Source organism: Homo sapiens, chromosome 21 (genome assembly GCF_000001405.40).
Source record: "Homo sapiens chromosome 21, GRCh38.p14 Primary Assembly".
NCBI lineage: Eukaryota > Metazoa > Chordata > Mammalia > Primates > Hominidae > Homo > Homo sapiens.
This window is the reverse complement of record NC_000021.9, coordinates 18,730,489-18,756,814: the sequence shown is the minus strand read 5'-3', so window position 1 is coordinate 18,756,814 and position 26,326 is coordinate 18,730,489. Positions and strand designations below refer to the sequence as shown.

The following is a 26,326-nucleotide window of genomic DNA, read 5'->3' as shown; positions in this document are numbered from 1 at the left end:
CAAAAGTCCACCTTAGGCCTGGAGCAAAACTTAGAAACCCTATTGATCTTGGCAACCTCTGTTTTTTATAATAGAGATCAGGAGGAGTAGGCGGAACGGGACAAATGGGATAAAAAAAAAGACCACCGCTTTAGTCATGGTCCTCAGGCAAGTGGACTTTGGAGGCTCTGGAAAAGGGAAAAGCTGGGCAAATCGAATGCCTAATAGGGCTTGCTTCCAGTGCGGTGTACAAGGACACTTTAAAAAAAGATTGTCCAAGTAGAAGTAAGCTCCCCCCTCGTCCATGCCCCTTCTGTCAAAGGAATCACTGGAAGGTCCACTGCCCCAGGGGATGAAGCTCCTCTGAGTCAGAAGCCACTAACTAGATGATTCAGCAGCAGGACTGAGGGTGCCTGGGGCAAGTGCCAGCCCATGCTGTCACCCTCACAGGGCCCCAGATATGCTTGACCATTGAGGGCCAGGAGGTTAACTGTCTCCTGGACACTGGCACGGCCTTCTCAGTCTTACTCTCCTGTCCCAGACAACTGTCCTCCAGATCTGTCACTATCTGAGGAGTCCTAGGACAGCCAGTCACTAGATACTTCTCCCAGCCACTAAGCTGTGACTGTGGAGCTTTACTCTTTTCACATGCTTTTCTAATTATGCCTGAAAGCCCCACTCCCTTATTAAGGAGAGACATTCTAGCAAAAGCAAGGGCCATTATACACCTGAACATAGGAGAAGGAACACCCATTTGTTGTCCCCTGCTTGAGGAAGGAATTAATCCTGAAGTCTAGGCAACGGAGGGACAATATAGATGAGCAAAGAATGCCCATCCTGTTCAAGTTAAACTAAAGGATTCCACCTCCTTTCCCTACCAAAGGCAGTACCCCTTAGACCCAAGGCCCAACAAGGACTCCAAAAGATTGTTAAGGACCTAAAAGCCCAAGGCCTAGTAAAAGCATGCAGTAGCACCTGCAATACTCCAATTTTATGAGTACAGAAACCCAACGGACAGTGGAGGTTAGTGCAAGATCTCAGGGTTATCAATGAGGCCGTTGTCCCTCTATACCCAGCTGTACCTCACCCTTATACTCTGCTTTCCCAAATACTAGAGGAAGCAGAGTGGTTTACAGTTCTGGACCTTAAAGATGCCTTTTTCTGCATCCCTGTACATCCTAACTCTCAATTCTTGTTTGCCTTTGAGGATTCTTCGAACCCAACGTCTCAATTCACCTGGACTGTTTTACCCCAAAAGTTCAAGGATAGCCCCCATCTATTTGGCCAGGCATTAGCCCATGACTTGAGCCAATTCTCACACCTGGACACTCTTCCTTTGGTACAGGGATGATTTAATTTTAGCCACCCGTTCAGAAACCTTGTGCCATCAAGCCACCCAAGCACTCTTTAATTTCCTCGCTACCTGTGGCTACAAGGTTTCCAAATGAAAGGCTCAGCTCTGCTCACAGCAGGTTAAATATTTAGGGCTAAAATTATCCAAAGGCACCAGGGCCCTCAGTGAGGAACGTATCCAGCCTATACTGGCTTATCCTCATCCCAAAACCCTAAAGCAACTAAGAGGGTTCCTTGGCATAACAGTTTTCTGCCGAATATGGATTCCTAAGTACTGCGAAATAGCCAGACCATTATATACACTAATTAAGGAAACTCAGAAAGCCAATACCCATTTAGTAAGATGGACACCTGAAGCAGAAGCGGCTTTCCAGGCCCTAAAGAAGGCCCTAACCCAAGCCCCAGTGTTGAGCTTGCCAACCGGGCAAGACTTTTCTTTATATGTCACAGAAAAAACAGGAATAGCTCTAGGAGTCCTTACACGGGTCCAAAGGATGAGCTTGCAACCTGTGGCATAGCTAAGTAAGGAAATAGATGTAGTGGCAAAGGGTTGGCCTCATTGTTTACGGGTAGTGGCAGCAGTAGCAGTCTTAGTGTCTGAAGCAGTTAAAATAATACAGGGAAGGGATCTTACTGTGTGAACATCTCATGATGTGAATGGCATACTCACTGCTAAAGGAGACTCGTGGCTGTCAGACAACCATTTACTTAAATATCAGGCTCTATTACTTAAAGGGCCAGTGCTGCGACTGCGCACTTGTGCAACTCTTAACCCAGCCACATTTCTTTCAGACAATGAAGAAAAGTTAGAACATAACTGTCAACAAGTAATTGCTCAAACCTATGCCACTAGAGGGGACCTTTTAGTTTCCCTTGACTGATCCTGACCTCAACTTGTATACTGATTGAAGTCCTTTTTCTACAAGGAAACTTCTAAAAGTGAGCTATGCAGTGGTCAGTGATAATGGAATACTTAAAAGTAATCCCCTCACTCCAAGAACTAGTGCTCAGCTGGCAGAACTAATAGCCCTCACTTGGGCACTAGAATTAGGAGAAAGAAAAAAGGTAAATATATATACAGCCTCTAAGCATGCTTACCTACTCCTCCATGCCCATGCAACAATGTAGAGAGAAAAGGAATTCCTAACTTCCGAAGGAACACGTATCAAACATCAGGAAGCCATTAGGAGATTATTATTGGCTGTACAGAAACCTAAAGAGGTAACAATCTTACACTGCCAAGGTCATCAGAAAGGAAAAGAAAGGAAAATAGAAAGGAACCACCAAGCGGATACTCAAGTCAAAAGAGCCGCAAGGCAGGACCCTCCATTAGAAATGCTTATAGAAGGACCCCTAGTATAGGGTAATCCCCTCCAGGAAACCAAGCCCCAGCATTCAGCAGGAAAAATAGAATAGGGAACCTCACAAGGACATACTTTCCTCCCCTCCAGATGGCTAGCCACTGAAGAAGGAGAAATACTTTTGTCTGCAGCTAACCAATAGAAATTACTTATCACCAAACCTTCCACTTAGGCATTGATAGCACCCATCAGATGGCCAAATTATTATTTACTGGACCAGGCCTTTTCAAAACTATCAAGCAGATAGTCAGGGCCTGTGAAGTATGCCAAAGAAATAATCCCCTGCACTGCAGGCCATACATTTCAATCCCTGTATCTTTAACCTCCTTGTTAAGTTTGTCTCTTCCAGAATCAAAACTGTAAAACTACAAATAGTTCTTCAAATGGGGCCCCAGATGCAGTCCATGACTAAGATCCACCGCGGGCCCCTAGACTGGCCTGCTAGCCCATGCTCCGATATTAATGACATCGAAGGCACCCCTCCCAAGGAAATCACAACTGCCCAACCCCTACTATGCCCCAATTCAGCAGGAAGCAGTTAGAGCTGTCATTGGCCAACCTCCCCAACAGCACTTGGGTTTTCCTGTTGAGGGCGGGTACTGAGAGACAGGACTAGCTGGATTTCCTAGGCTGACTAAGAATCCCTAAGCCTAGCTGGGAAGGTGACCGCATCCACTTTTAAACATGGGGCTCGCAACTTAGCTCACACCCAACCAGTCAGAGAGCTCACTAAAATGCTAATTAGGCAAAAACAGGAGGTAAAGAAATAGCCAATCATCTATTGCCTGAGAGCACAGCAGGAGGGACAAGGATCAGGATGTAAACCCAGGCATTCAAGCTGGCAACGGCAACCCCCTTTGGGTCCCCTGCCTTTGTATGGGAGCTCTGTTTTCACTCTATTTCACTCTACTAAATCTTGCAACTGCATTCTTCTGGTCCATGTTTGTTACGGCTCGAGCTGAGCTTTCGCTCGCTTTCCACCACTGCTGTTTGCCGCTGTCGCAGACCTGCCACTGACTCCCATCCCTCCGGATCCGGCAGGCTGTCCGCTGTGCTCCTGAACCAGCGAGGCACCCATTGCCAATCCTGATTGGGCTAAAGGCTTGCCGTTGTTCCTGCACGGCTAAGTGCCCAGGTTCATCCTAATTGAGCTGAACACTAGTCACTGGGTTCCACGGTTCTCTTCCATGACCCATGGCTTCTAATAGAGCTATAACACTCACCGCACGGCCCAAGATTCCATTCCTTGGAATCTGTGAGGCCAAGAACCCCAGGTCAGAGAACACGAGGCTAGCCACCATCTTGGAAGTGGCCTACCACCATCTTGGAAGTGGCTCGCCACCATCTGAGGAGCTCTGTGAGCAAGGACCCCCGGTAAGAGTTAGGGGTAGAATTTTCCACCCGTGGTATCATGTTGGTGCTCAGAAAATTTCAGAATTAGGAATATTTCAAATTATGAATTTCCAGATTGGTAATGCTCAACCTGTAGCTGGTATCAATCCCATTTTCTCTGTTCTTATTCACTGTTTACCCTACTTTATCTTTCTTTGAGTAATTAATGGAAAACCTTAAACATGAGCAAGGTAACATGTCAAAATAGATACTAAAAATAAATTATTAAACCATCTTTTGAAAGAGATGGATCATGGAAGGTGTAAAGAAAATATTGAGAAGAAATTACGTGTAAAAACAGAAAGCATAGCAAACAGCAGATCCTAAAATAATTCTAACACAGAAAAAAAATTTAAGTGCTGAATAAAATATATTTTAATGAATTTTTAAACATATGGATGACCTAGTAATATCCGGCCAGCATGAGACAAAGGACTCCAGAGAGATAGGAAGTTACTGGTGCCAGGGGCTGCCCTGAGGGTGTGAGCCTCACCCAGTCATTGGAGGCATTGTTTCAGTGGCCATGTGGGGAAAGGAAACAGAGCCTCGGGTCTTTGCATCAAGCGGAGGCCCTTGAGTGTTGAAACTTCAGGGTAAATAAGCTCTTCATACAAAGAGAAACGGCAGAGAAACTTGTGTGTTTTACCTATTGTGCTCGATGGAAAGAGGAGAAAAAAAAATGTCTCCTTAGAACTCTCCTAAGAAGACACTTTTAGAAACACCCTGGTCTATACAGAACTCAATTACATTCCCACTTGCTCTGATGGCCCAAAAGCTAATTAATTTTCAGCAGTCAGCAATTTCAAGCATCATTATCCAAGTAAAGGATATTTTCAAAAAGCAGATATCTGGCCGGGCGCGGTGGCTCACGCCTGTAATCCCAGCACTTTGGGAGGCGGAGGCGGGGGGATCACGAGGTCAGGACATCGAGACCATCCTGGCTAACACGGTGAAACCCCGTCTCTACTAAAAATACAAAAAATTAGCCGGGCGTGGTGGTGGGCGCCTGTAATCCCAGCTACTCGGGAGGCTGAGGCAGGAGAATGGCATGAACCCAAGAGGCGGAGCTTGCAGTGAGCCGGGATAGCGCCACTGCAGTCCAGCTTGGGCGAAAGAGTGAGACTCCGTCTCAAAAAAAAAAAAAAAAAAAAAAAAAGCAGATATCTGTGAAAGAAAAATAACTCTTGGGACCCCAAAGTCACTAAGCTAAAGGGAAAAGTAAAGCTGAGAACTGCTTAGGGCAAACCTGCCTCCCATTCTGTTCAAAGTCATCCTTCTGCACACTGAGATAAATGTATATCTGATTGCTTCCTTTGGAAAGGCTCATCAAAAACTCAGAAGAATGAAATTATTTGCCTCTTATCTACCTATGACCTGGAAGCCCCCTCCCCACTTCAAGTTGTCTGACCTTTCTGGACTGAACCAATGTACATCTTGCATGTATTGATCGATGTCTTATGCTTCCCTAAAATGTATAAACCAGGTGTGCCCCAGCCACCTTGGACACTTGTGAGAAGCTCCTGAAGCTGTGTCACAGGGACGCACCCTTAACTTTGGCAAAATAAAGTTCCCAAATTGACTAAGACCTGTCTCAGATATTTGAGGTTCACATTTCAATTAATTAGTGAATTGTGATGTGTTTGTAGCATGCCATTAAGATAGTAAATACTTTCTGGCAAGATGCCTACATCACATTGATTTAATATGGCTAATACCATATACCTACTAATATAATGTAATAGGAAGTGTTACAGGATCCTTGGGATGTCAACTTCACCAGCCAGAAACCTCTGTGGCCAGTGGCACCTGTGCCCAAGTTTTGCTCAGGCCCACTGGGCTCACTTGGCCTGGAAGGCTGTGCTCAGCTCACGTTACTGGCCTGGATCCTATGCATCCAAGGGTGAGCACAGCGGTAAGGGCAAGCAAGCATGTGTGAGCAAGCAAGCGTGGGTCTGGCCACTGTGCACAGCCAAGCGTGCTGGCTGCAGTGGCATGGGCACCAGCTCCCTGTGAGGCTTCAGCTGGACCAGGAATAGAGCAAGCAGCTTCCACAGCTGGCACTGGGGAAGGCGGTGGCACCTGGAAGCTTGGAGACACCCAGAAGCTTGGAGATGCCTTGGAGCCCCAAGAGGGTATCACAGCCCTGGCTCAGGGAACTCGTAAGTCTGGGCTCCTCAAAGGGCCATAGCTCTTCTCTCCTTCTTGTCATCTGCAACATGGTGACCAAGGGGCATATTTCAACCCTGTTTGTGTTGCGCTCTTTTAGCGCCCCCATTCAGTGAGTCCTGAGTTCTTGTCCTGTGCCTAGGAAGAATGAGGCACATGGACAAAAGGAGGGTGAGCAAGGTAAAAAGGAGATTTATTGAGTGATAGAACAGCTCAGAGGAGACCCACAGTAGGTAGATTTTTCTCTGCAGCCAGGGTGTCCTGATGAGTGTCCCGCTCTCATTAGAGAGGAGACACTGGAGTGGGTAGCTCCTCTCTGCAGGCAGGTTGTCCTGTCATCCTCTCAGCTTTGAGCAGAGAGGAGACCCTGGAGTGGATAGCTCCTCTCAACAGTTGGTCATCCTTTCTCTTTTTGAGCCTGGCTAAGTCTGGGGATTTTTATATGCTTCAGAGGAGAGGAAGTGCATGCTGATTGGTCCATGAGTGGCCATGGGTGGGCTCAGATAAAGCACTATAAGTTCCCACTCTGGTCCACCGAGCTGGCAGCCCAGTCCCCAGAATTCAGGCCTTCCGTTGCTTGAAGATGGGGCTTCATTGGGGACCCACCCCTTCCCACCCAGGAGCCTGTCTGCCTCCTGCTGCAGTTCGTGGCACCCAGGCTGGTCATGCCAAGAGGTGCCTTCAGGCAAGCACTGAGTGGCCCTCAGCCCTCCTTGGCCTCCCTCCTGTGCTTGTCAGCTCCTGAAGGCAAGATTTTTCCGTGTTTCTAAAATAATAACTATATTAAAATTGTCACAACTAAGAAACCATTGTGAAAAAAAATAAAATCTCAGGACCCCAAAGTCACCATTCCAAAGGTAAAAGTTAAGCTAAGGGACTGAGTCATCGAAAAAAAACTGAGTTCCTTTTTTCAACAGATAGCTGTAATTACACATACTTATTTTATCTTATGTAAAATGTAGACCTATCGAGTGCTAGATGAATGCATAATTAATTTATTCCCCCACTTCTTTCTTTTCACATGTGAAATTACACATTATTCTTCCCCAAAATAATAATTATAAGAATTAGTCCCCAGACTAAATTTTACAAAAATCATAATTCTTCAGACCAATTTTAAGAAAAACATCAGAGAAACTTAAATTGAGAAACATGTAAAATGTGGATTCAGTGAGCATTAATCAAAGCCTCTCAAGAATGTATTTGCTGACCTCACTACCTACCCTTCTCTCCATTTTTCTTCCCTCTTTGCCTTCCTGCTGCTCTTTCCCATTTAAATATTGAGCTCCTTAAAACTCTTTTTGGAAAAAGTGCATCCCACAGATCCCACTGTAAATTTTGTCTCTTTTTCCCTGGTCACATCCTCAATCTTGGAAAAATAAACCTCTAAATTGATTGAGACCTGTCTCAGGCACTTTTAGGTTGACACCATCATTAGTACATTACCATTAACTGAACTCCTATTCTTTGATTTCACAAGTTTTTCCACTAATGTTCTTTCACTATCCCAGAACTGAGTTCAGGATGCCACATTTCATTTTACTGTGATGCCCCCTTAATCTTATCTGGTCTGTGACTATTTCTTAGTCTTTTTTGTTTTTATACCCTTCACAGTTTTGAGGAGTACTGGTCAGGTATTCTGTAAAGTGTTTCTCAATTTGAGTTGCTCTGATGTTTTCTTAAAATTCATCTGTGGACTGCTTATTTTCTTAAAATTAGTCTGAGGACAAATCTCACAATTATACTTTTAGAGAATAATAACATAGGTGAAGTATCCTTCTGCTGGCAGCGGTGACCTATCTGGAGCAACTGTTGCCATGATGCCAGCTAAAGTTGGGGAGGCGCAGCCAGGGCTGTGTGCTCCACTGAGCCAGTGGGATCCAGGAACAGGCAGAAGCCTAGCCCCTTCTAAGCTGGCAGAGCAGGAGCCTCGTGCTACCTGCATGCAGCCACAGCCACCCAGCCATGGCTGTGGACCCAGGCATCCCTGTGCTCTTGGGGTCCAGGAGAAGACAGGACCCCCACCCTCCTAGGCACAGCTGCAGCCACCGAAGCTGTGGCTGTGGAACTGGGTATCTCTGTACTCTCAGGGGCCCAGGAGGACACTCCCTGCCCCCACAGGCTCAGAAGTATCTGCCTCCACTGCCTGACTTTATTAAAAATTTACTAAAAATTTTTAATAAATAATTTTGCCTTAAACATTTATTAAAAATAAAACTTTTTGGCTGGGCTCGGTGGCTTATGCCTGTAATCCCAGCACTTTGGGAGACTAAGGCGGGTGGATCACCTGAGATCAGGAGTTTGAGACCAGCCTGTCCAACATGGTGAAACTCCATCTCTACTAAAAATACAAAACATTAACCGAGCGTGGTGGCATGTGACAGTAATCCCAGTTACTCGGGAGGCTGAGGCAGGAGAATTGCTTGAACCCAGGAGGTAGAGGTTGCAGTGAGCCGAGATCGTGCCATTGCACTCCAGCCTGGGTGACAGAATGAGATTCTGTCTCAAAAAAATAAAAATAAAAATAAAACTGTTTGATTACAATCAAATTCAAAATTTCTGTTCTTCTAAAATCCAATAAATAAAGTAAAATGCTACAAAATGGGAAGGATAGTTTGAACATTTTTAACCCACAAACCCTTGGTATCCAAAACATATGATTAATTGTTAACAATTAGTAGAAATTAGACAATGTAATACAAAATGAATAAAAGATATCAAACATTTTACAAAGAAATCCCTTATATGAGTCATGAAGGTTTATGTAAAGATGCTTAACTTCATTACTTAACAGGAAAATAAAAATTAAAACCAGAATTATACACAATTTGGCTTTAGCACATTGGTGAGAAAATATTGTAGCTGCATTGTAGCAAGATTTGATGAGGATCTGGAGTCTCAGGAGATCATATTCTGCTCATGGGAGGGTTCAACAGAATATGGAATAATTTGGCCAGAAAATTGGTATTTTCTATAACACATGCATACCCCCTTCTACAGCAAATTTTTTTTCTGAGGAAGTACCCTATATATTAATCAATTAGAAGTTCAACATGAGACAGAAGAGGTTTCCTAGCAGAATCATTTGTAAATGCAAACATATATAAACAAGTAAATTTTCAACCAAGAGGAGAATGGATGAATAAATTTGGCTATTCATTAAACTGAATACTGTATAGCCGTGAAACTGGACTATAGCCACACACAGAAACATAGGTAACTTCTACAACATAATATTAGTCAACAAAATATAAACCATGTTAGGATTCATACAGTGTGATACCATTTGTATAATGTACAAAAACAGGCAAATAAGTCCATTTGTAAAACTCAGTAGAAAGCAAGGTAACATGAAATAGACATTCAAAAATATGGATAGCTCTGGGTGTTAGATACAAAATGTGATCATGAAAAGGTTTCAAAGTTATCATTAATGTTTGATATTTTAAACTAGGTGGTAATATATAGTGTTTATTTTTGCTTTTTTCTAAAAGCCCCCTACTCATTATCCATGTTGTGTATATATGAATGAGATTTTAATACCACAGTAGGATAAAAGAAAAATCAGCTACACATGTGTTATACTTTTAAAATTACAAGCAATTCAGAAAAATAACTATTTTGATCAAAATGTAAAAGAAAGGAGAACATAGTGCTTTACATAGAAGATCAAAGATGAGAGGGATAATTAGGAACTGATTTATTAAGAAAAAAACCCAAGATTCATAGGTTAGTGTTTTCTTCAGTTGTGGAAATGAATCATCGCATAGAAGATGCTGGCAGTGTCAGTGAAATGTATCTCTCCTAGCTGTAGCTAGATTATAACCAGTCTTTTATAAGGTTCTGGCTCAAACTGAAAAAGAAAATCCTTCAAACACTTTGCAAATTTAGGACATATTTTTTAAAAAGTCTAGATAAAGTTTTAAAAGTGGTGAGCATGGTAATAGTCAATTAAAGTTTTACCTTTTGTGCCCATGAGTTTCACATGGCTTAAGGCTCATCATGGAAAAAAAAATGATGATGATGGTGATGATAATAGTAATATAACTAGACCCATATGCCTCTGGTACTAAGCTGATTGGTACTTTAATATATGAGAACTGAGATAAGTTTGCAACTTCGATTTAAAATATGTATATGTGTATATATATATAAATTTAAATATATATACACATATATAAATTTAAATATATATACACATATATTTCAACTTCAGATTTAAAATATGTATGTGTATATATATAAATTTACGTGTATATATGTATATATGTGTATATATGTTTATATGTGTGTATATATGTATATATGTGTATATATGTGCATATATGTGTATATATAAATTTATATATAATATATACACATATATATACACATATTATATATGTGTCATAAAGATTTATGTGAAAATGCTTAACTTCATTAATAGGAAAATAAAAATTAAAACCAGAATTATACACAATTTGGCCTTATCCTATTGGAAAATATTGGAGCTGCATTATAGCAATTATATGCATAATATATTACATATAATATATAATTATATATACTGTATATTACATTATATAATTATATGCATTATATAATATATGATTATATATAAGATCTATATATAATTATAATTATATGTAATATATATAAAATTATATATAATTACATTACATATACGTAATACATATGTAAATTAAATGTGTAATGTATATATTATTATAATTAATTGATATATAATGCATTATATATTTACTGCAAGGAATTTAATATATATGTCTGTAGATACACATACGTATTTATATATAATGTGTGTATATGTTTACACACACATTACATATAAATGTATATAGACACACATACATTTTATATATATACATATAATATACATAATTTCTGCAAGGAATTTAATTAAGGGATTCTTTAGGTAAAGGCATGAGCAATGAACCATATCATAGATAGCTTTTACATAATATCAAGTAGATTTTTTTAAAGCACAATGAGAAGTTTCTTTAAAAGTTTCAAGCCATGGCATCTCATGATCAACTATGCATTTCGATGCTATGTGAAGGATAAGTTGGAGGGAGTTTTGTTAGCCATCATCTAGACAAGAAATAATGTTTGCCTTGACTGAGATGGCATCAGTGGACTAGAGAAGAGTGCAAACTCAAGAAATATTCGGAAAGTTAACTTGAGAGGACTTGGTAGTTCACTGTGTCTGGAGAGATCGAAGAGTCAAAGATTCCTTCAGAATACTGGTTTCTGCAACCGGCTGAAATCGAGTCACTGACTGCGTTAGTTTGTGAATTGAAGAGGAGACAGACCACTTTCAACATACGGAGTATAAGCTGCCTGATGAAAATTCTTTGTGGAACTATCCAGAAAATAAACCTTCAGAAATGGAGAGGATGATTCAAAGTAGTGACCTAAATATGGACCTACCTCCAAATACTATAAATAGTGAAGCCATTAGTATAATTGCCAAGGATGCATGTGTGGAGTGGGAAGAACACAGCATGAAGTCAGACGTCTGAGAAGCCCAGCACTTAAGGTAAGGGAAATCTTGACTGAGGAATGAGAAAGGCCTAGTTAAACAGTCCTGATGGTAATTAAGAATGTCAAATAGATCAAAGGGGAGGAAGTTTCAGATGTTTCCAGCAATTAAGCAAGGCTCAGAGAGTTTTTTTAACAAGAAATTAATCCATGATCATAAAAGAAGGGGTCTCAGTGTAGTCGTGGGATGTGAGTGGTTAAAATAAACTGAAAGTAAGTGGAAGATAAGCAAATAGTAACAGAGTATATAGAACTTTTGTTCAATATGATTGTGTTCTAAAGAAGAGAGATTTTTGACCTACCTTGCATTGTATGTAAGTAAAGGTAGAGGACTCTTATTTAGAGGACAGAATTCTAACAAACCCATTATTCCACTTCTGAGATATGTGTGAAACTTTGGGTGACAGCAAGGAAAACAATTTCTAATGAATATAAAAGGGACTTTGATATTTTTATTCCGATCATTTATTTTGTGTCTCATTTTAGTCTTAACAACTGGTTTGGAAGAAACAAATATATTTGAGTAGTTCTATTTATAATCACAGTGAAATATGAGAGAGTACTAAAATGTATATAATCGTTACAAAAAATGTGCCTATGAATATTGTATTTGTTGAGTATTTTGCAATTGTCATATATTTAATAGGACTATACAGTAATAATTTTAATTATATTTCAATATCTGTGTATGCCTGTTTGTCCCTTGGTATTACATTTTTTAGTAATACATTCTTTAATAAATCTGTTTTATAACACCTATTTGAATGGATTTTTATGTCCTTGCTTTGCCATGTGGCAGTTCATCAGAGTAAAAGTGGCTTCATTTAAAGTTGCATAGTATTTCACAGATTTAGAAAGTGTCCTATTAGACATGCTATGTAATTTTCAACAGATAAACATAGAAAAATATTCTAGTGGTGATGACGAAGTTCAGGTTATTTTCCATGTTTTGTGCCCTAAGAACTTGTTTGAACAATGGGGATTTCTCTATGTTTGTAGAGATTAATTTCTCAGCACAGAGGCTTGAGGGCAGTGTTTTCTTGCACAAATCCACTTTTTTTACAAAACTGAGAAATTCATCCCCTGGAATATTTTGTTTTAGCCTGGGAGCATATGCTAATAAATAGCTGAAATCATTAAGAACTACAGAAAGGGACTCTGGGGAAATGTTAAACATATTCACTTGAAAACATAAATAACAATTCCAAACAAAGTACAATTGACCTATTCTTCACTCAAGAAGTGACTTATATATAGCTTGTTAGGAAATAAATTATTGCTTTCCCTGCTATTTCATCATCCAGCAGGTTTCACATTCTCGGTTTCCTAAGCACAGACAGCTCAATAGGATCTATATGTATTTGGGCCTCTGGCAAATGATATGAGTAATAAAAGGTAAAATATTTTTTAAACTATTTTAAGAAATATGTTTCTTATTACTGGCTAAAAATGTGTTGATTACAGACTATCTAGAAAATGTTGCTCAGCAAGGAAGAACATTAAAATCATCTGGAGCCTTATGCCCCCAGCCAGAGGTGAACACCCATACAATTAATGATATTTTATTAGGTTGACATCAAATTATTTAAACTTTTTCCTCCATTAAAACATCTTTCTTATGTGTATATATGTGTAATAAATATCTGTGAAACATATGCAAGCTTTTTAAAGATAACATAAAGAATTTACAGTGTTGTAATCTGATTTATCACTACATTTAGCTTTTTAAAGAAAATATTTCAAATATTCACTGTAGAAAATAGGTTGAAGTGAATATTAGTTTGTATTTTATTTGAATTTAATGATACTGATAGGGAACTAGATGCTGTTATATTACTGAATGGCAAACACCAGGGTTAATTTTTTTTTAATGTTTTATTATGCCCTGTGATTATCAGTTACAGATGTCAATTTGAGTGAATTAAAACTGTTCCTCAAACAATGTGAGGGTTTCATCAACTTCTCAGTGGATATTACCTTACTCTTTGATTAAATGATTCTGTACTCATTCTGAATACATAGCAAGAGTGAGATATCATACTTAGCAGTAGCAGTAAAATGCCCTGTTTTTAGTTATTAGTAAACCTACAAGAAAGCAGTTTTCTGTACTAGAAAATGGTATGACTTGGTCAGATCATTCATAAATAAAATTCAAAACAGACTTCACAGAATGGAAAGGATATAATACATTTTTTCTCAAAATTATGGCTTAAGTGCCCAAACTTTCATGGTCAGAAAATATCAAATCACTTTGTAGATACAAGTTGTATTTGGAAATGCCATTGTATTGCAATACAAGTTAATTCACATTGAGCTAATTTTATACTTCATAGGGTCTATCCTGCTCACAAGTTTACATTCATTGTGGGAAATTTTCCTCTCTCCACCCCCCTCCCCTGAATATCCACAAAAAACACACCCATGCACTGTTTGTAATATACTAAAAAATTATTGTTTATCTGAAATTCAAATTTTACTATGTGTCTTGAGTTTTATCTAGAAATCCTCCACCTAACCCAAAATGAGACAGTTTAAGAGATGGTTTCTCAAATATGTTAATCTTTAAAGGAAAATAAAAAGGAATAGGGTGGTTGAAGTGAAAAAAATGTTTAGGTAAGAAAGAGTTGCATGTTTCTGTAACTGAAATATGTTTTTTCTGAATGTAACATCTATTGGGAGGCAAGAATTAAGTAGAAAATGACAAGAGATGAATCAACATCTAGCATACGAAAAGGAATTTTAAGGAAGAATGAGTACAAGGGTAAGTAAGCTTGAAGAGATAGAGAGGAGAGAAATAGCGGTAGAGACCTAGGGGTAGAGCCACTATTTCTTAATGGTCATATGGAAAGCATACATTTTGCAAGAAGCATGAGTCAGCCATTTTGTATTCCTACGAATTTTGGATTCATATTTTTATCCCCTTAGGTCATAAATAAAGGATAATGGAGACTTCTGTTGATGTATAAACATCTCAAAAAGATGTTTCCGCTACCTAATTATTTATATCAATGAAATAGGCTCAGCTGACTGAAATGCGCATTCAGGCAAAAAACAGTATTTGTATATTGTATAGGAACTAGATTAAGAAAATGGGCTAGCCTTTTGACAGACCATTTCAGTGACAGACTGAAATGTGAATTTCTGTAAAAAAAAAAAAAAAAGGAGGGAGTATTTGTACTTGTGCAAGGACTAGGTTAAAGTATGAGTATGGCTTGAAATAGAATACGAATATTTTATTGGTTTGTGATTTAGAACAAGAGAACATTATCTTTCCATAATATGGTGTGTGTGTGTGCGTGTGTGTGTGTGTGTGTGTGTGTGTGTTTGAAGACCTGAAGGTGTGGGACCATAATGCTATCGTTTTTCATAAAATGATTTTGGCAATCTATATTCTTTCATTGAATCTACATTGAATAGAACATGCCATTTTTCGAAGAGCCTTGTAACTTAAAGAGTTGTTTACATACAGAAAGGCATTCCTTGGAGAACCATGAGATTTTCCCCTATAAATATCCATACATCATTCTTCTAGCTGGTTCCTATATAAGCTACATTTTGACTTACATAGAAAAACAGAAGTATAAGTGACAATAGGGCACACGCTTACTCAGTTTATATATTTTTGTACATTACATTTTTGGTAGTTTTTCCTGATTAGGGAAAGACAAAGTCATTTTATAGCCTAGTCGTCTGCATTTTGTACACTCTTAAGCCTATTAACACTGGAAATGCTCAGACCATAAATATTGACTTCCTTCTTGTGTCAATGCTTTTTCTAGTAAGCCAGATTTGCATGGCAAAAGAAAACAAATCTTATACTTGTTAAAACAAATCAGCAGAACTTATTGAGCTTCTGCTTGTGGCAGAACATTCTACATGGTTAAGAAAGTTCTATGAAAGATGAGAAAAGTAAACCAAATTATTAACTCCACAAAACACCCCAATTTCTATCAATTTTATGGACTTGGCATTTCTATTGTTGGTAATTATTAATTAAATTAGGCAAAAACCATGAATTTTTAATGGAAATTATAGGAAAAGGCACAATTGATAATAAGTGGAAAGTGGTTGAATTTTTAGGAGTGAATATTGTTCTGACAGTCAAGCCTATTACAAATTCAAAACGTGCCGACAGATAAAATTTGGAAATCAAACAGATGGAGATTAAATACCAGCTTCTTTACTAATAAAATAATATAGAACATGACTTAAACGTGAGGCCTATTGGGCTTCAAAATGAACTTTCCTTCCCCTCTACCTAAATTTTATTAATTCTCTGAGCAACAAGATAATCTGGACTCCTTAAGGACCCCGACATTGCAATAAAAGAAAACGGTGTTTAAGTCGTGAGCACAGCTGTTTGCAAAGGACAACCCGTAATTGTGCAATTTTCCAAAAGTCCTTAAGGAAAGAGTGACTGACCCAGTGGGTGACTTGTGATCAGAGGATAGCAATATTCTTCTAGTATCTTTCCCTCCTGAAAAGTAGGTGACAATGGCATGCTCAGCCCCTCTAAGAGAAGAAAAAAGTTTGCTCTTCACATCTGTAACTTCATAGACAACTAGAAAGCTCTGTCATTCTCTAAAATGTGTGAGGGTTTACCAGAGTTTCACTATTACCCCATTATATATTTAATCACTGCTTATATACAACTTTCTGCCTCACAGCCAGTAACAGTATTTGTTAATCAGGGGAGAAAATTTTCACTTTGGCACATTGAAATTGTACCTTTCAAACTCTTTTACTAATTTGAAGAAGAAACGAAAATAGAAGAACTCATTTTATTAAAAAAGAAAAATGTTCTGGTGCTTGTTGGGGGGTTTTAGTTATCAGATACTGTTCTCTCTCCATTCTTCCTGTCTTTATTCATTGACCATTTACTCTAATTCAAACCCAGAAGATTCAATGGTATAGAGATCTCTTCAAAAGTAAGCTGGAAGATGACATGCTATCTATTTATGGTCCTTGATTCTGCTAATTTTCTAAGCAGAATAGACTCCGAATAGCAGATATTTTAGCAAGAGTATCATTCCCATTTCTGGAGACCTGTATGAAAATGCAAGGAATCTAAAGTTTGGTTGGGTTATAAAATTTCAGGTGGCCCAGCCTATGAAATAGGAAACAGAATAGTGTGCAATGTTGGATAAGTTTGTTCTTCTTTAAGATGTTTCCTATTTTCCCAATAGCTGCATAGGGTTTATCCCTCAAAGACATAAAGTTTTTCATAGATTTAAAGAAAAATACAACTAAAATTTCCATGCACTTTTATACCACATAAAATACATTCCTCTAAGCAGCTTTCTGCCAAAAGGAATGCATTTCGTTCCTTAGTGATAAATTTCTACTCCACTGCCTTCAGCTAACATTAGGGATGCTCTTTCTAAATTGGATACAGGGCTTAGCTATCAGAATCCCCAGATGTACCAAATCCTTGAAAAATGATGAGAACTTGGGAAGAAGTGGCAGGACCTAACTCTTTCTTTACTGGTTAATTACTCTGGCTTCTAAATTCCCGAAAATGCCAAACTTCTTACATTCTGCTAATTTAACTTTTCTCCACAATCATTCTCCAGCAATTTGCCATGTTTTTAGATATTTGTGTATGTCTTTGTTTTCTAGGAGTTATTAGTATTGTTTCTAATAATCATATAGTTTATTTTATTTTGGCCATTCATATTTTCAGCTTATAATAGTCAGTGAGCACACCAAGAAGAGGATTAAAACATAGCTAAACAACTTATTACCTTCCATATCTGCTGAATGATGCCAAATATTGATCCCAAAGTATTTCTATAACTTTGGTGAAAGTAAGTCTTCATAAGCTGGGCAAAAGTATGTTTGTTTGGAATATTGTGTCCACAAAAATTCTCTATCTGCTTGCATTTTTCCAAACATGAGTAAGTATAAATAGGTTCAAACTCAAATAAATTATTATATCAATATATATAGTGACTTCCTTAGTTTCGCCTTTCTATAATTTCTTCCCTACGTGTACTTCAGACAATGGCCCCTAAAATCAGAATAGGAGGTCATTAATAATTGTTGAACTAAACAGAAAAGTTTTTGTTTTTTTGGCTATTTTCTTTTTAAATATTTTATGCCTAATGTATGTTTATCTGTTGTCTCTACCTGAAACAAAATTTATAATTTCCATACTTTTTATGACTGTTCATAATTTTGACTATCTTTTCTTCGTCTTGCTGGACTACCTGTTGCATTTGCTTTGTCCACCCCCATGTATTACACAAGTCTTGGAAAATTCTTTCTTGACTTCCTTGACACTACACTGTCTTGGATCTGCCCATACCCCTGCATCAATCAAGATCTTGGAAGAGACACATATCCCCTTCCAATGGGATCATCTGGAAACTTGCTCATTCCATCAGCTGGGGCCAATAAGAACAACCACCAACCAAATGTAACAAGTCAAAAAGGATGCCACAGAAACAAATTTTCTGACTTCCTTCTCCTTCCTCCATCTGATCTCTAGTGGCTGAAGCCAAAGAGAAACCAGAGAGTCCTGGTTTGGATAGCCATATAATCTACAGTTAAAATAAGGACTATTTTTATAATAAGAAAGTGTGTCATTCATAATTAAACTGGGACAGCAGGCATAAACTTGTCACCAGACTTTGATCCTGAAGCATGGGGCAGTGTGGAGTTGGGTGGAAAGAGGATCTAAAGGATCAGATAGAAAATATTCAGTTCAAATTCCCATTTATCTTTTATTTCCCCATGAGTTTCTTTTAATATATATATTTATAAAACTTCGATATTTCCAAAAATCTATTCCTGACCAACATTTTACCACACTCTATATCTCTCCTAGAATAATTTAGCCATTTCATAGACATTATGATATTTTGCTATGATCTTCGGACTCATAGACATCTGATTAAAAATGTTGTGTTTGATAATCTCACAGGTTTACAGATGCTTCATCACTTCCATGTAAATCCTAGCCTTCTTTTATAAGGTATAAATCTGTTTTGATTCACAGGGAGAAAGCATTTATGGTGAGGAGAAAAGCAGCTGGTATCACACTCTACCCAAGTCCCAAAAGCAGGTTCACATAACTCCTGTCTTCATTATCTGATATCCGGTGAGTCACTGAATTCCTTCATCTAGGTAATCAATCAGTCAATCATCAATTGATTTGATTTTGCCACTTAAATATTTCTAAAATGTGTTTTGTCCTTTCTCTTTCTGCTACCCAAGTGGTTTTTCATGCGTCATTGCTTCCAGAAGGCTTTATGGTCAATTGTGTCATATGCATAGAGGTCAAAGATCATGAATACTGGCAGAGTCTTGGTTTTGGTGTTATGGAGGCCTCTGCGGATCTATGAAAGGCTAGTCCAGTGCCTTGAGCCTTATTAACAAATGGCTGGTGAAGACTTTAACAGAAGTGACAGGATTCTAAGGCGATAAAAGCAGAGAAAGTTCAGCTTGATGCAGTAGAACTTTAGAAGGGAGTTTTATCTTTGTATATGCTGTTTCCTTTTTTTATTTTTTAGAATATATGAAACTTATAAATAGTTGGATTTATGATAAGTAGTCATAGTTGAGAAAGCATTGATGGTGAGGAGGAAAACAGCATTGATACCAATTGTGAAGGGGGATTGTGGAGTATGGAATTAAGAAGTGGACCTGGGAAATTTAAAGTTTAGTCTGCATTTTTTCTGAGATGAAAATATATGGAAAACACAAAATTTTCAAGGTGGAGAAGAAGAAAATGAAATGCATTAATGATAATTTGCACATTTAGATATTATTCCATGATGCAGATTTTAAATGTAATTTATTTACGTAGTCCTTGATATTGCATGTTTGGACATATACTGTATTTGTATGCTTTTATTCCTTTTTTTGGCTATTATGAGAAATGCAGTAATAAATATAATTATACATAAAGCCTCACAGAAATAAATTCAGCTCCAAGAGATAGAGTAATTGAATGCAACGGACAGGCAAAAAAAGTGTGTGTGCAGTTTTAATTTTAATATTTATTTTTAAATGCTTTGCCAAAGTTTGAAACTATTCACATTTTCATCAATAGAGAGACTTGAAGTCAAACAGAATGTATGTGTTACAGATGTGACACAGTTTTACTCCAGAGATGTGGCCACATATGCCCACACAATTTATAAAAATTAACTGTCCTTTCCTATGAATTAAAATATTACCTGTTTTATATGTTACATTCTCATATACACTTAGACCTATTTCTGAATTATCTGTGTTGCGCACTGATCTAGCCACCTGAGCTTGTTACTACAATACTAATTTGATTATGATGGCATTAGAATATGTTACTAATGGAATAATTACTGAGATGATTCCTATTGTATCACTTTATTTTCCATTATTTCTTCACTGTTCTAAAATAGTTTATATTATTCCCCTTATAAAAAGAGAATATTAGTTAGAATTTTAAAATCATGCATTGATTCTGAAAGAATAGGTACTTTTAAACATATATCTTCTTGCCCAATATTATGGTACTTCTTTCTATTGTTCAGATTTCCTATTATGTTCTTTTGTGAGGTTTTGTAGCTTCTCTATTTAGAAGGTAAAACATTTTACGTATGATTAAGTGAATCATAGTTTTAGCCTTTTTCTTTTCTTTTCGTTATTTGTTTTTTTGAGACAGGGTCTCATTCCTGTTGCCCAGGCTGGGGTGCAGTGGTGCAATTTCAGCTCACTGCAGCCTTGGCTTTCTGGGTTCAGTTGATCCTTCCAACTCAGCCTTCCAAGGTGCTGGGACTACAGGCATGTACCACCATGCCTGGCTAATTTTTTTGTTTTTTGTTTTTTTTCAGTAGAAAGTGGGTTTTGCCATGTTTCCCAGGCTGGTCCCCAACTCCTGGGCTCAAGCAAACTGCCCTCTTCCCAAATTGCTAGCATTACAGGTGTGAGACACCATGTATGGGCTATCCTTCTTTTAAAAAGCATATTTCCTTATTTTTTTCCTAAATTCTTGATACTATAGAAATAAACATATCAATATGTTATCTTTTTAGATATTCTTCTTAATGCTAATAATGCTTAAAAGCTATGCTTATTTTAATAATTGTAGATGAAATACAAAAAATACACATCTTAACTGAAAGCCTTTCCTCTAAGGTCTGGATGATAAGGTTGCCCATTTTTATTCTCTGGGGCATTGATCTGATATTCAACAAGTACTGTGAAGTCCTATGTTGAATAACAATGAAGGAAATCAAAGGCATCCAAATGGAAAATGAAAAATAAAATTATCATTGTTTGCAGATGATATGATACTATATTTGGAAAAACCTAAAGTCACCACCAAAATACTATTAGAACTGATAAACAAATTCAGTAAAGTTGCAGGACACAAAACAACATACAAAAATCAGGAGTATTTTTATGTGCCAAAAGTAAACAATCTGAAAAATAAATCAGAAAAGTAATCCATTTACAATAGCTATAAATAAAATGAAATACCTAGGAATTAACCAAAGAAGTCAAAGATCTCTCTAATAAAAACCATAAAACACTGTTGAAGGAAATTGAAGAGGACACCAAAAAAGGGAAAGATACCCCACGTTCATGGATTAGAAGAGTCAATATTGTTAAAACATCCACATTACCCAAAATAATCTACAGATTCAATGTAATATCTATCAAAATACCAATGGCACTTTTCAGAGAAATAGAAAAAAAAAACCTAAAATTTATATGAAACCAAAAAAGACCAAGAATGGCTAAAGCTATTCTAAGTGAAAAAAACAGAACAAAACAGAAGAAACTGCATTACCTGACTTCAAATCACACTGCAGTTATAGTAACCCAAAGAACACGGTACTGGCATAGAAACAGACAGACCAGTGGAATGGAATAGAGAAACCGAAAACAAATCCACACCTGTACAGTGAACTCATTTTCAAGAAAGGTGCCAAGAACACACACTGGGGAAGAGAGTCTCTTCGATAAATGGTGCTGGGAAAACTGATAATCCATATACAGAAGAATGAAACTAGATTATCACCATATACAAAAATCAAGTCAAAATGGATTAAAAGCTTATATCTAAGACTTCAAACTATGAAACTACCCCAAGCAATCACCGAGGAAACTCTCCAGGCATTGGTCTGGGCAAAAACTTTATTGAATACTACTCCATAAGCACAGGGCACCAAAGCAAACATGGACAAATGGGTTCACCTCAAGTTAAAAACCTTCTGCATAGCAAAGGACACAATCAACAAAGTAAAGAGACAACCCATAGAATGGTAGAAAATGTTTGTAAACTACCCATCTGGCAATTTAGTAACCAGTATATATAAGGAGCTCAAGCAACTTTATAAGAAAAAAAATCAAATAATCTGATTTAAAAGTGGGTAATAAACAGACATTTCTGAAAAGAAGTTATATAAATGGTAAATAGGTATATAAAATATGCTCAACATTATTGATCATCAGAGAAATGCAAATCAAAACTACAATGAAATATCATCTCACCCTAGTTAACATGGCTTTTATCCAAAAGACAGGCAATAGCAAATACCAGTGAAGATGTAAAAAGGGAACCCTTGTACACTTGTGGTGGGAATATAAATTAGTACAATCATTCTGAAGAACAGTTTTGAGGTTCCACAAAAAAACTAAAAATAGAGATACCATATAATCCAGCGGTACCTGGATTATACATTCAAAAGAAAGGAAATCAGTATATGGAAGATACATCTTCACCCCTATGTTTGTTGCAGCACTGTTTATAATAGCCAAGATTTGGAAACTGTATTAGTCCATTTTCACACTGCTGATAAGGACATATCAGAGATTGGGTAATTTATAAAGAAAAACAGGTTTAGTGGACTCACAGTTCTATCTGGTGGGGGAGGCCTTACAATTACGGCAGAGATGAAAGGCACTACTTGGCAAGAGAGAGAAAGAGCCAAGCAAAAGAGGTTTCCCTTTATAAAACCATCAGATTTTATGAGACTTATTCACTACCACAAGGACAGTATTGGGAAAACCACCCCCATGATTCAATTATCTGCCCCCGGGCCCCTCCTACAACACGTGGGAATTATGGGAGCTACAAATCAAGATGAAATTTGGGTGAAGATACAGGCAAACCATATTATTCCACCCCTGGCCCCTCCCAAATCTCATGTGCTCTCATTTCAATACACAATCATGCCTTCCCAACAATCTCCCAAAGGCTTAACTCATTTCAGCATTAACTCAAAAGTCCACCGTCCAAAGTCTCGTCTGAGATAAGGCAAGTCCCTTCTGCCTACAAGCCTGTAAAATCAAAAGCAAGTTATTTACTTCCTAGATAAAATGGGGGTGCAGGCATTGGGTAAATAACCCATTCCAAAAGGAAAAAATTGACCAAAATGACAGCACTACAGGCCCCATGCAATTCCAAAATCCAGTAGGGTAGTCAAATTTTAAAGCTCCAAAATGATCTCCTTTGACTCCCTGTCTTACAGTCACACTGATGCGAGAGGTGGGTTCTCATGATCTTGGGCAGCTCCACCCCTGTGGCTTTGCAGGGTACAGCCTCCCTCCCAGCTGCTCTCACGGGCTGGGGTTGAGTGTCTGCAGCTTTTCCAGGGGCACCTTGCAAGCTGTTGGTGGATCTATGATTCTGGGGTCTGGAGGATGGTGGCCCTCTTCTCACAGCTCCACTAGGCAGTGCCACAGTAGGGACTCTGTGTTAGGGGCTTCCCCTCCATATTTCCCTTCCACACTGCCCTAGCAGAGGTTCTCCATGAGGGCTCTTCCCCTGCAACAAACTTCTGCCTGGACATCCAGATGTTGCCATATATCCTCTGAAATCTAGATGGAGGTTCCCAAACCTCAGTTCTTGACTTCTGTGCCCCCACAGACTCAATGCCACATGGAAGCTGCCAAGACTTGGGGGTTGCACCCTCTAAAGCCCTGACTGGAGCTGTACCTTGGCCCCTTTTAGCCATGGCTAGAGCATCTGGGATGCAGGGCACCAAGTCCCTAGGCTGCACACAGCAGTGGGATCCTGTGCCCAGCCCAGAGAACCATTTTTTCCTTTTAGGCCTCTGGGCATCTGATGGGAGGGGCTTCTGCAAAGGTCTCTGACATGCCCTGGAGACATTTTTCTCATTGTCTTTGGAATTAACATTTGGCTCCTGGTTACTTGTGCAAATTTCTACAGTTGGCTTGAATTTCTCCTCAGAAAATGGAATTTTCTTTTCTATCCCATCACCAGGCTGCAAATTTTCTAAACTTTTATGCCCTGTTTGCTTTTTAAAACTGAATGCTTTTAACAGCATCCAAGTCACGTCTTGAATGCTTTGCTCCTTAGAAATTTCTTCCACCAGATGCCCTAAATCATCTCCCTCGAGTTCAAAGTTCCACAAATCTCTAGTGCAGGGGCAAAATGTCACTTGTCTATTTGCTAAAACATAGCAAGAGTCACCTTTACTCCAGTTCCCAACAAGTTTCTCCTCTTCATCTGAGACCACCTCAGCTTGAATTTCATTGTCCATATAATTATCAGCATTTTGGTCAAAGCCATTCAACAAGTCTCTAGTAAGTTTTAAACTTTGCTACATTTTCTTGTCTTCTTCTGAGCCCTCCAAACTTACTGTATTAGTCCGTTTTCATCTTGCTGATAAAGACAAACCCAAGACTGGTAATTTGTAAAGAAAAAGAGGTTTAATGGACTCACAGTTCCATGTGGTGGGGGAGGCCTCACAATCATGGCAGAAGGTGAAAGGCTCTTCCTATATGGTGGTGGGAGTAAAGAGAGCCAAGTGAAAGGGGTTTCCCCTTATAAAAACCATCAGATCTTGTGAGACTTATTCACTACCTTGAGAACAGCATGGGGGAACTGCCCCCATGATTCAATTATCTCCCCCTGAGTCCCTCCCACAACGTGGGAATTATGGGAGCTACAATTCAAGGTGAAATTTGGGTGGGAACAGAGCCAAACCATATCAGAAACAGATAAATAGATAAAGAAAATATTATCATTATACACAATGGAATACTATTTGGTTATAAAAAGAATGGGATCCTGTCATTTGCAACAGCATGAATGGAACTGCAGGTCATTATGTCATGTTAAATAAGCCAGACACAGAAATACAAACACTGCATGTGCTCACTTATTTGTGGAATCTAAAAGTCAAAACAGTTGGACTCATGGAGACAGAGAGTAAGATGGTTATCAGAGGCTTGGAAGGGTATTGGGGGCAGGTAGAGGGGAGATGGGGATGGTTAATGGGTACACACAAAAAATAGAATAAGAGTTAGTTTTGGATTGCACAACAGAGTGACTATAGTAAATAATTTAATTGTACATATTAAAATAACTGAAAGTATAATTGGAATGTTGGTAACACAAAGGATAAATGCTTGAGCGGCGGACACCTCATTTTTCATGATGTGCTTATTACACATTGCATACCTGTATCCAAACATCTCACATACCCCATAAATATATACACCTACTATGTACTCTCAAAAATTAAAAATTAAAAAACAAAACCTATACATTTTTAAAAGTATGAATGTATAGATCCAAATTAACACACGGTGTTTGATGCAACATTAAACTTTTAGAGATATCTTGTAATTATTCGGTTTTTGTTTTAGTTAATTATTTAGTATCATGTCTTAATCGTCTCAACCTCAAGACTGTCATAATAAATATAAAACTAAATTATTTTTCTAATTTATTTTTTGTATTCAAACATAGCTAATATGTTTTTTAGGTCTACCAGTTTTCAAAGAAATTGCATAATTTTTTTAACCTTTTAAAAATCAAAGCATTTGGCAAATATAACAAGATCTCATTTTCTAAATGATAGAACAAAGTTTAAGGAAGTTAAAATATTTGTTCTTGCTCATTCAATTAATGTTTGAACTTGGTTTATAGTACATCTCTAAGTATAAATGCAGTGAACTTCCTATGACATCCTATACTTTCAAGTTTTTATCTTTATGAATACATTTTATGTCTCCTCCCAACATGTATTGCCTGGAAGCAGAAAATGAATTTTACTCTATCATCCATGTTTAATAAAGTTATGATTTATTTCAGAAACGAAATAACTTATAGAATTTGAAAATAAAACTTCGAGGATTTTTTAACATGTCCATCTGTCATTAATAGGAACCATTTTTGATAGGATTCTGCCAATATATTTTTATTTTAATGATTTTTCTTTTTAAAGTAAGACCATATTTTATAACAAAAGAAGTTGCTATTGCTAGAAAAAAATCATAGCGTTTATCTTGGTCTAAATGATAAAAAAAATCTTGAAAAAACAATTTTCATTTAAAATAGCCCCAGGTGTTTCTTAACTCAATGAAGACATCTTAAAGGACAAACTTATAAATGAGCACTGAGATCTGTTCATTTTTAGTCATTCTTCTATTTGAAATCCTATTTTGTATATTATTTTCCCTGGAGTTGTATTTGAAAGAATATAAAATATGGAAGGTATATAATGGACATACTAATGATGAGCACTGGATTGAGCATCTAGGACTTTCAAAAGAAAGTGCAGCATTATGAA

General features: G+C 37.8%; 1 long non-coding RNA gene across 1 annotated transcript in view, besides 1 other annotated feature; it reads left to right on the top strand.

Annotated features, from left to right (window-relative positions):
• Nucleotides 1–26,326, top strand: part of MIR548XHG (MIR548X host gene) — a 198,548-nt gene that overhangs the window by 2,998 nt on the left and 169,224 nt on the right. The window contains exon 2 of the long non-coding RNA NR_109925.1: nt 18,790–18,891. This is a non-coding gene — a long non-coding RNA (MIR548X host gene). The remainder of the gene's footprint in view (nt 1–18,789; nt 18,892–26,326) is intronic.
• Nucleotides 11,877–12,077: a silencer, noted in NCBI's record as "peak4355 fragment used in MPRA reporter construct". NCBI's record gives its function as "represses an SCP1 promoter by STARR-seq MPRAs in K562 erythroleukemia cells {active_cell/tissue: K562}" and the evidence as "EXISTENCE:reporter gene assay evidence [ECO:0000049][PMID:32103011]".